This window comes from Homo sapiens, chromosome 3 (genome assembly GCF_000001405.40).
Source record: "Homo sapiens chromosome 3, GRCh38.p14 Primary Assembly".
Taxonomy (NCBI): Eukaryota; Metazoa; Chordata; class Mammalia; order Primates; family Hominidae; genus Homo; species Homo sapiens.
In genome coordinates this window covers 12,678,810-12,690,446 of record NC_000003.12, presented here as the reverse complement: position 1 = coordinate 12,690,446, position 11,637 = coordinate 12,678,810, and positions in this window count along the sequence as shown.

Sequence of the window (11,637 nt, the reverse complement as noted above, 5' to 3'; positions counted from 1 at the left end):
CAGACTGAGTGTGGTGGCTCACACCTGTAACCCCGGCACTTTCTGAGGCTGCCAAGGCAGGAGGATCGCTTGAGCCCAGGAAATTTGAGACCAGTCTGGGCAACATGGGGAAATCCCATCTCTACAAAAAATAAACAAAATAAACAAATAAATGGTGGTGGATGCCTATAGTCCCAGCTAATCCGGAGATTGTAGTGGGAGGATCGCCTGAGCCCAGGGAGGTTGAGGCTGCAGTGAGCTGAGATGGCGCCACTGCACTGCAGCCTGAGTGACAGACTGAGACCCTGTCACTCAGACCCCTGAGTGACAGAGTGAGACCTTTCTCCACTACAAGTTCACTTCAGCTTCATTGTGTCTGCAAAGACCCTATTTCCAAATAAGGTCTCATTGACAGGGAGGCTGAGGCAGGTGGATCATCTGAGGTCAGGAGTTCAGGACCAGTCTGACCAATATGGTGAAACCCTGTTTCTACTAAAAATACAAAAATTGGCTGGGTGTGGTGGTGGGTGCCTGTACTCCCAGCTACTTGGGAGGCTGAGGCAGGAGAATCCCTTGAACCCAGAAGGCAGAGGTTGCAGTGAGTGGAGATCTCGCCACTGCACTCCAGCCTGGGTGACAGAGTAAGACTCGTCTCAAAAAGAAAAAACAAAAAAGTTAACTTCTTTGTTTGTTTTTTGTTTTGTTTTGGTTTTGCTCACTTCAACTTCTGCCTCGAGGGCTCAAGCAATTCTCCTGTATCAGCCTCAGGCAAGTACCACCACACCCAACTGATTTTTTGTATTTTAAGTAGAGATGGGATTTCACCATGTTAGCCAGGCTGATCTGCAACTCCTGGCCTCAGTTGATCCACCCACCTCAGCCCCAAAAAGTGCTGGGATTACAGGCATGAGCCACCTCACCGGCCTTTTTTTTTTTTTTTTTTTTTTTTGAGACGGATTATTGCTTTATTGCCCAGGCTGAAATACAGTGGCACAATCTTGGCTCACTGCAATCTCCGCTTCCTGGGTTCAAGCAATTCTCCTGCCTCAGCCTCCCTAGTAGCTGGGATTACAGGCTCATGCCACCACACTGGGCTAGTTTTTGTATTTTCACTAGAGATGGGGTTTCACCACATTGCCAAGGCTGGAGAAGTTAACTTCTTTATCATAAAAAATAATTCTTATATACTGGTAAGAAAAAAACACCAATACCCAAATGGTCCAAGATCACAAACAGCTAAATCAGAAAACAGGGAACAGGTTGGGTGAGGTGGCTCACACCTGTAATCCTAGCACTTTGAGAGGCCAAGGTGAGCAGATCACCTGAGGTCAGGAGTTTGAGACCAGCCTGGGCAACACGGCGAAACCTGGTCTCTACTAAAAACACAAAAATTAGCTGGGCGTGGTGGTGTGTGCCTGTAGTCCCAGCTACCTGGGAGGCTGAGGTAGGAGAATCCCTTGAACCTGGGAGGCGGAGGTTGCAGTGGCACAATCTCAGCTCACTGTAACCCCCACCTCCTGGGTTCAAGCAATTCTCCTGCCTCAGCCTCCCAAGTAGCTGGGATTACAGGCACGCATCACCATGCCCAGCTAATTTTTTTGTATTTTTTGTAGAGATGGGGACTGGCCATGTTGTCCAGGCTGGTCTTGAACTCCTGGACTTCAAGTGATCTACCTGCTTCGGCCTCCCAAAGTGCAAGGATTATAGTTGTGAGCCACCACATCTGGTCTTCTCAACTTCTGTTTTTTTGTTTGTTATTTTTATTTTATTGAGACAAGGTCTCGCTCTGTCACTTAGGCTGGAGTGCTGTCATCCAGGCTCAATCATGGTTCACTGCAGTCTTGACCTCCCATGCTCCAATGATCCTCCCCACTCAGCCTCCCAAGTAGCTGGGACCACAAGCAAGTACCACCATGCCCAGCTAACTTTTTTTTTTTTTGTAGAGACAGGGTCTCTCTGTGTTGCCCAGTCTGGTCTTGAAGTCCTAGCCTTAATTGATCCTCCCGCCTTGGTCTCCTAAAGTGTGGGCAAAAGTGTTCAGCCACCATGCTCGGCCCTAACTTCAGGAACTCTATATTAAAGAAATAATCTGAAGTGTGGAAAAGCTATTTGAACAGGTAAAGGAATATTTGTTGGATGCCTACTAAATGCCAAGCTCTTTCCGTATCTTATCTTTTTTTAATTCAGTAATCTTGTAACATAGGTATTCCTTGCTCCATTTGAAGATAAGATCAAGTCTCTGTGAGGTTAAGTCGCTGTCAAGGTCACACAGCTTGTAAATGACAGCTGGGCTTTGATCCCAGGAGATCCATCTGGGCTCTCAGCTGCCCACAGCTCCATGTGACGCAGAGCACCCTGACCCCTCTTCAGGCCAGCACCCATCTGCCAAATGTGGGGGCTAGAAAGGTTTGCACTGAAAGGTCTCTAGGATTTCTCTAAGCTGTAAGCTTTCGTGACTCTTTATTGCAAGTAAACCTCAGGAAGGACAAATACAGAAATGAGTAAGAATTGTGCAGTAAATTGGCCGGGCGCGGTGGCTCACGCCTCTAATCCCAGCACTTTGGGAGGACGAGATGAGCGGATCACGAGGTCAGGAGATCGAGACCATCCTGGCTAACACGGTGAAACCCCGTCTCTACTAAAAATACAAAAAAAAATTAGCCAGGCGTGGTGGCAGGTGACTGCAGTCCCAGCAACTCAGGAGGCTGAGGCAGGAGAATGGCGTGAACCTGGGAGGCGGAGCTTGCAGTGAGCCAACATCGCGCCACTGCACTCCAGCCTGGGTGACAGAGCGAGACTCTGTCTCAAAAAAAAAAAAAAAAAAGAAGAAGAATTGTGCAGTAAATTTGATCTTGGCTCACTGCAAGATCCGCCTCCCAGATTCACGTCATTCTCTTGCCTCAGCCTCCCCAGTAGCTGGGACTACAGGCACCTGCCACCATGCCCGGTTAATTTTTCTCTTTTTTTGTATTTTTAGTAGAGACAGGGTTTTACCGTGTTAGCCAGGATGGTCTCGATCTCCTGACCTCATTATCCGCCCGCTTTGGCCTCCCAAAGTGTTGGGATTACAGGCGTGAGCCACCGCGCCCAGCCTGTGCAGCAAATATTAGACACTCTTCATTTCCCCCTTCAGCATTGTGGCTTTCAGCCAAGATTAATCTTGTTTTGGATTACCATTTTGAGTATGTTGGTGTTTTTTGTTTGTATGTTTGTTTGTGGGTTTTTTTTTTTTTTTTTTTTTTTGAGACAGGGTCTCCCTCCATCATCCAGGCTGGAGTGCAGTGGCATGATCACGGCTTACTGGATCCTTGACTTCCCAGGATCAGGTGATCCTTCCACCTCCACCTCCCCATGTAGCTGGTACCACAGGCATGCGCCACCATGCCCCAGCTAATTTTTGTATTTTTTATAGAGACAGGGTCTTTGCTATGTTGCCCAGGCTGGTCTTGAACCCCTGGGCTCAAGCGATCTGCCTGCCTCGGCCTCCCAAAGTGCTGGGATTACAGGTGTAAGCCACTGCAACCGGCCTGTTGGTGTTTTCTTAATTAAGATTAGTTATGTACTATGTTTGAATGCCTATTTATTTATTGAACAAATAAACTATAATGATTAAAGGTGCAGGTACTATGTAAGGATGTTTCTTGCATATTTTCTCCTTGTTACAAATTCTATCCAAATAGTTATTTTAGGCCGGGCGCGGTGGCTCATGCCTGTAATCCCAGCACTTTGGGAGGCCGAGGCGGGCGGATCACGAGGTCAGAAGTTCGAGACCAGCCTGACCAACATGGTGAAACCCCGTCCCTTCTAAAAATGCAAAAATTAGCTGGGCATGGAGGCGCGCTCCTGTAAGCCCAGTTACTTGGGAGGCTGGGGCAGGAGAATCGCTTGAACCCAGGAGGCGGAGGTTGCAGTGAGCGAGATCGCACCACTGCACTCCAGCCTGGGCAACAGGGCAAGATTCCATCTCAAAGAAAAAAAAATAGTTATTTTAAAAAAATAGAGGGGTGTGGAATTGGACAGCTTGAAATGGATCTACAACTCAAGCACTGTTAGCTGTGTGTCCTTGCCTCAGTTCCCTCATCTGTAAAATGGGATGATAATGGTAGCCATCTAAAACTGTTGTTATGCCCATATGATCATGTGCCTTCTGGCATTATGCCTGACATAGAGCTGGTGCTCTATTGTTGTTAGCTATTGTTGTTAATAATTTCCTTTCTATGTTTTATGACCAACCAATTTGTTTTGGAGTCATTTGGCTTCTGAAATTGTTTCTAAAAGAAAACCCTGGCTGGGCGCAGTGGCTCACGCCTGTAATCCCAGCAGTTTGGGAGGCTGAGATGGGCGGATCACCTCAGGTAGGGAGTTCAAGACCAGCCTGACCAACATGGAGAAACCCTGTCTCTACTAAAAATACAAAAATTAGCCAGGTGTGGTAGCAGGCACCTGTAATCCCAGCTACTTGGGAGGCTGAGGCAGGAGAATCGCTTGAACCCAGGAGGCAGAGGTTGCAGTGAGCCATCACATCACAGCACTCCAGCCTGGGCAGCAAGAGCGAAACTCCATCTCAAAAAGAAAACACTGATTTTCCTGATCGGACAAATGTCTACAGGATGCCAACATTACTATAAAGAATCTGAGAGGCGGGCACGGTGGCTCATGCCTGTAATTCCAGCACTTTGGGAGGCTGAGGCGGGTGGGTCACGAGATCAGGAGATCAAGACCATCCCGGCTAACATGGTGAAACCCCGTCTCTACTAAAAATACAAAAAAAAATTAGCCGGGCATGGTGGCGGGCGCCTGTAGTCCCAGCTACTCGGGAGGCTGAGGCAGGAGAATGGCGTGAACCTGGGAGGTGGAGCTTGCAGTGAGCTGAGATCGCGCCACTGCACTCCAGCCTGGGCGACAGAGCGAGACTCCGTCTCAAAAAAAAAAAAAAGAATCTGAGGAAGAAGATAAAACCACAGTTGCCCAGATCTATAATGAGAAAATGAACTAAAAGAAAGCAATTTCCAGAATTAATGTGCAAACCGTATTTTAGGCTGAGAAAAAGGCTGTATAGACAGGCTTGATTTTTTTCAATCTGATGACCGGAGCTTTTAGCTAAGGTTGACCCTCTTGTATTATCCTTAAATTTTTCACTTCTAGAGAGGTAAGTGAAGGGGCACAAAATTTAAGCTAAACATCAGAGGACTGCATCTTCAGCTACTGTTTAAAGCTCAGTTCTCATGGTCTCCAAGTTATGGAAACATTGCACATTATAAGGGTTGTAAATATTGTTAATTATAAACATAATACCAGGCCGGGTGCGGTGGCTTATGCCTCTAATTCCCACATTTTGGGAGGCCGAGGTGGGTGGATTGCCTGAGCTCAGGAGTTTGAGACTGGCCTGGGCAACATGGCAAAACCCCATCTCTACTAAAAATACAAAAAATTATGCAGGCTGGTGGGGCGCGCCTGTAATCCCAGCTACTGGGGAGGCTGAGGCACGAGAATCGCTTGACCCCAGGAGGCAGAGGTTGCAGTGAACCAAGACTGTGTCATTGCACTCCAGCCTGGGTGATAGAGCGAAACTCTGTCTCCAAAAAAATAAACTACCTGCCAGGTATGGTGGCTGACACCTGTAATCCCAGCACTTTGGGAGGTCGAGGCAGGCGGATCACGAGGTCAAGAGATCGAGACCATCCTGGCTAACATGGTGAAACCCTGTCTCTACTAAAAATACAAAAAATTAGCCAGGCGTGATGGCGGATGCCTGTAGTCCCAGCTACTTGGGAGGCTGGGGCAGGAGAATCACTTGAACTCGGGAGGCGGAGTTTGCGGTGAGCCAAGATCGCGCCACTGCACTCCAGCCTGGGTGACAGAGCGAGACTCCGTCTCAAACAAACAAACAAACAAACAAAAAACCAGCCGGGCGCGGTGGCTCACACCTGTAATCCTAACACTTTGGGAGGCCGAGGCGGGCAGATTACCTGAGCTCAGGAGTTCGAGACCAGCCTGGGCAACATGGTGAAACCCCATCTCTACTAAAACGCAAACAAACAAACGAACAAAAAATTATCCGGGCGTGGAAATGTGCGACTGTAGTCCCAGCTACTCGGGAGGCTGAGGCAGGAGAATTGCTTGAACCCAGGAGGTGGAGGTTGCAGTAAGCAGAGATCGTGCCACTGCACTCCTGCCTGGCGACAGAACAAGACTCTGTCTCAAAAAAAAAAAAAAAGAGCTGGATCTCCATCCAGGCCAGAGAAGCTTCTCACAGACGGTTTTCAACTCTAAGAAATAAATTGGTTTGGTAATAAATGGCTTCTAGTCAGATAAAATATAGTAATAATAAAATAAAAATAATAATTCCAGAGTTCTCACAATGTACTGAATCTGGTCTGATGAAGCCTCTCCAACGTGAACCCCTGTGAATCCACAACAGCCTCAGAGGCTGTGGGGCAAAGCAAGCCACCTGAGGAATGAATAGCGGAAGAAAGACTAAAGGCAGTGGGCAGCCTTTTACACCCATTGGTCTTTGGGGCTCGGAACACTCCTTCAGTTCATAGACTCCCTCCTCCTGAAAGCGTGTGCATAACTCCCAGTGATTTCCACATGTGGTCTGAAGGGAACGCTCTTCAGAAGGAGAAGACATGAGCTTCACTGAATGTCAATATTCAGTTTCCGGAGAGAAAATCAACAGCTAACGGCCGGGGCATCTATTAGGGCTCTGCTATCGGCGATAGAAAAACTAACTTAATTGTTTTAAGTACAAAAAGGGGGAATGTAATCTGCATGGAACTGAAAAGCCCAGGTCTGGCTGTTGGAGGTCTGGCTGGTTTCAGTGCTCAACAGAGGTTGAAGGACCCCGCGGAATCCATTCTCGGGCCCTGTGAACTCCAGGCTCTGTTGTTTTTTTTTTTTTTTTTGAGACACAGTCTCGCTCTGTCGCCCAGGCTGGAGTGCAGTCGTGCGATCTCGGCTCACTGCAAGCTCCGCCTCCCGGGTTCACGCCATTCTCCTGCCTCAGCCTCCCAAGTTGCTGGGACTGCAGGCGCCCGCCACCACGCCCGGCTTTTTTTTTTTTTTCCTCTTTTTTTTTTTGTATTTTTTTTTTTTAGTAGAGACGGGGTTTCACCGTGTTAGCCAGGATGGTCTGGATCTCCTGACCTCGTGATCCGCCCGCCTCGGCCTCCCAAAGTACTGGGATTACAGGCGTGGGCCACCGCTCCCGACCCAGGCTCTGCTCTCATTGTATAAAGGTGGCTGAGGGCCGGGCGCAGTGGCTCACGCCTGTAATTCTAGCACTTTGGGAGGCCGAGGTGGGTGGATTCTCTGAGCTCAGGAGTTGGAGACCAGCCTGGATAAAACGGTGAAACCCTGTCTCTACCAAAATACAAAAAATTAGCTGGGAATGGTGGCGTGCACCTGTAATCCCAGCTACTCGGGAGGCTGAGACAGGAGAATCACTTGTACCTGGGAGGGAGGTTGCAGTGAGCCGAAATGGCACCACTGCACTCCAGCCTGGGTGACAGAGCGAGACTCCATCTCAAAAAAAAAAAAAAAAAAAAAAAAAGTGGCAGACACAGCTCCAGCCTTTCCTCCCCTCCCAGTTCAAGTCCATGGGAAAGCCCAGAAGGCTTATTTGGAAGCTTCCTCTAAAACCTGAGACTCACTGTGATTGGATCCGTTGAGTCATGTCTCCATCCCTCAACCAATCACAGTGGCCTGTGCCTGAGTCACAGCTTTCATTCCTGGCACCAGGGGAGAGTCCCAGCCAAATAGCAGGGTCTGAGAGTAGGGGAGAAGTGGGTCCCCAAACGTTTCTTAGGATAAGAAGAAAAGGCAAACAATGAAGTCCTCTGTAACCGACTACTTCAATTGAGGCATGGGGCCTGAGATGGATAACCCAGGTGCTTCCCAGCCCCTTCCACTGGGCCTGTATTTCACCAAACTTAGGCACTCAACAAACCAAACTACTTACATTTTCTTGCACACACACACTGTATAAGTGATCTATTGCTGTGTAACAAATTATTCTAAAACTCAGCAGCTAAGACAAGCATTTACTATCTCATGCAGATTATGAGAGTTCAATTCAGCAGGGGCTTAGCTGGTGGCTCTGGCTCAAGGTCTCTCATGAGGTCATAGTCAAAAAATAAAAGCTGAGGTTGCAGTCAGTGGGGACCATGGTATCTGAAGGCTTGATGGGCTTGAAGAATCTGCTTGTGTGACTATTGGCAAGCGGACTCAGTTCCTCATCATGTGGGTCTCTCTGTAGGACTGCCTGTGACTTCCTTCAGCACAAATGATCCAAAAAAGAAAGAGATAGAAGATAGAAGAAACAGGAAAAAATCTTGGGTGAAGTTCCTTTTTTTTTTTTGGCAGCATTGCACACAGTCTTTTAGAACTAGCCTTGGAAGTGACACAACACCACTTCTGTGGTATTCTATTGGTCATGCAGACCAACCCTGACAAAATATGGCAGGGAATTTCACAAGCTGTGAATACAGGAAGTGGGGATCACAGGCAGTCATCTTGGCTACCATGAAGAGTGCCAACTCCTGCCTCTGTGTGTATCTTTACTTGCCCTGTTTCTTCTGCCTGTCTTTCCTCATCTCCTTCCCTTGGAGAATTTCACTTTTGATTTCATTCCTGAACACACTCCTCCTCCAGGAGGCCCTCCCTTCCCACTTATCCAGTCATTCCCTCTCCAAGGAACACTGACACGTAGATAGACTACTATGTTTCAAAGCCTTGCCTGGGCCTGTAATTCATTTGTTCTTCTCCACACTGCACAATGAGGCCCTCAAGGGCAGGGACTCTGCTGGGCATCTCTACATCACCAGTAGCTGGTGTGGCCTCCAGCATGAGGGTGAACTGTAGATAATGGAGAGTGAAAGGGAGAACTGACAGGATTGTCCATATCATTTCAGCAAAACAAAACAACACAAGCACATCTTTGGTCCTGATTATCTGGCTTTCATTCTCCCTTTGGAGCCAGCCAATGTGAGCCAATGAAGGAAACTGTATCAATTTTAGACTGGATGTGGTGACAATGAAATAACCAGAAATTAAAGTGTTAGTCATCCAATAAGCCTTGTTCCTTTAAGGTTCATCTTAAGGCTAAAGCCACAGTTTCTCTTCTGTCTTAGCTAACAGTGAAATAAGTATACATTAAGCACCAACTATATGCTCAGTACTACACGCTGCGGGATGGGGGCGGTAGAATATACCATAATAAGGCCCTTATCCCAGAGACTAAGAAAGACCTAAGCCATTACATTTTTTTGAAGCTCCTGAGATTTTTTTTTATTTTTTATTTTTTTTTTAGAGATGGAGTCTTGCCCTGTTGCCCAGACTGGAGTGCTGTGGTGCAATCTTGGCTCATTGCAAACTCTGCCTCCCAGGTTCAAGTGATTCTCCTGCCTCACCCTCCCAAGTAGCTGAGACTACAGGAGTACACCACCACGCCAGGCTAATTTTTTGTATTTTTAATAGAGATGAAGTTTCACCATGTTGGCCAAGCTGGTCTCGAACTCCTGACCTCAAGTGATCCACCCGCCTCGGCCTCCCAAAGTGCTGGGATTACAGGCGTGAGCCACCACCCCCGGAATTTCCTGGTATTTTTTTTAAATGTAGAAATTCCAAAATAGGTATTAAAAAATGGTGATGGGCCAGGTGCGGTGGCTCAAGCCTGTAATCACAGCACTTTGGGAGGCAAAAGAGGGCAGATCAGGAGGTCAGGAGTTCCAGACCAGCCTGACCAATATGGTGAAATCCCGTCTCTACTAAAAATACAAAAATTAGCCGGGCGTGGTGGCATGTGCCTGTAATCCCAGCTACGCGGGAGGCTGAGGCAGGAGAATCCTTTGAAGCCAGGAGGCGGAGGTTGCAATGAGCTCAGATGGAGCCACTGCATACCAGCCTGGGCAACAGAGCCAGACTCCGTCTCAAAACAAAACAAAACAACTGATGATGAAGGCTGGGCGTGGTGGCTCACGCCTGTAATCCTAACACTCTGGGAGGCCGAGGCTGGAGGATTGCTTGAGCTCTAAAGTTCAAGACCAGCCTGGACAACATGGTGAAACCCCGTTTCTACTAAGATACAAATAATTAGCTGGGTGTAGTGGCATGGGCCTGTAATCCCAGCTACTTGGGAGGCTGAGGCAGGAGAATCGCTTGAACCCAAAAGGTAGAGGTTGCAGTAAGCTGAGATCACACCACTGTACTCCAGCCTGGGTGATAGAGCCAGACTCTGTCTAAAAAAAAAAAAAAAAAAAAAAAAAGGTGATGAAATATTTTAAAGGCTTATTTTTAAATTTTTATTTCTATTTGTAGAGAAGAGGTCTTGCTACATGGCTCAGGCTGGTCTTGAACTCGTGGCCTCAAGCAATCCTTCTGCTTTGGCCTCCCAAAATGCTGGGATTACAGGCATGAGCCACTGTGCTTGGCCTTTAAAAGCTTATATTCAACAAACTAATAACTTTTAAATTCATAATCCACCCCCATACAAACATAATGTAAATTTATGATGCTCTTTTCAAGATAAAGGATTTAAGATGTAATTCACAGATGTGGCCAATTAATACTTTTCAAAGATAGTGCAACAATAGGTCCCATCCCATATGAATTTCTGTAACCTCATCAGTCCCGCATCGAGAAGTGGATTCTGTATTTCCTCCCCTTGGCTCTGCGGGCTGTAACTGCTACAGCCAGTAGAGCACAGTGGAAGAGATGCTAGGTCAGTAGGTCATAAAATACCATGACGCATTAGTTGTTGGTGCTCTGAGTCCCCACGTAGGAATTCTGGACACCCTGAGGCCACTGTGCTGGAAGAGCCGGCAGAGGTGCTCTGGCAGATACCCTCAGCTGAGCTTAAGTTCAGGCAGCTTGTTACACAACAAAGGACAGCTGGAATAATAATCTACCACAGACAGTGTGGTCTGGTGTCAGGCTCCAGTTTAAAATTGTATGATGAGTGGTTTCTTGTTTTATTCTGATCAGTGTACCTCTATAACCTTGTTTGGGGAGAATGGCAAATTTTAAGACCCTTCCAGGCCTATATGACCCTCCTGGCCTCGCTCCAGGGTCATCTACATAATTTGTGAGACCCAGTGCAAAATGAAAATGCAGGGCCTGGCCGGGTGCGGTGGCTCACACCTGTAATTCTAGCACTTTGGGAGGCCGAGGCGGGCAGATCACAAGGTCAAGAGTTTGAGACCAGCCTGACCAACATGGTGAAACCCCGTCTCTACTAAAAATACAAAAATTAGCTGGGCATAGTGGTGCGCGCCTGTAATCCCAGCTACTCGGGAGCCTGAGGCAGGATAATTTTTTGAACCCGGGAGGCAGAGGTTGCAGTGAGCTGAGATCACACCACTGCACACTCCAGCTTGGGTGACAGGGCGAGACTCCGTCTCAAAAAAAGAAAAAGAAAAAATGCAGGGCCCGTGGCCGGTTGTGGTAGCTCACACCTGTAATCCCATCACTTTGGGAGGCCAAGGTGGGAGGATTGCTTGAGTCCAGAAGTTTGAAACCAGCCTGGGCAACATAGTGAGACCCCTGTCTCTATTAAACAGAAAAGAAAAGAAAATGCAGGGCCCTTGTTCAAAAGGCAAAAAAAAAAAAAAGTGCCATTAAAAGTTCGACTAAGGCAGGGCACAATGGCTCATGCCTGTA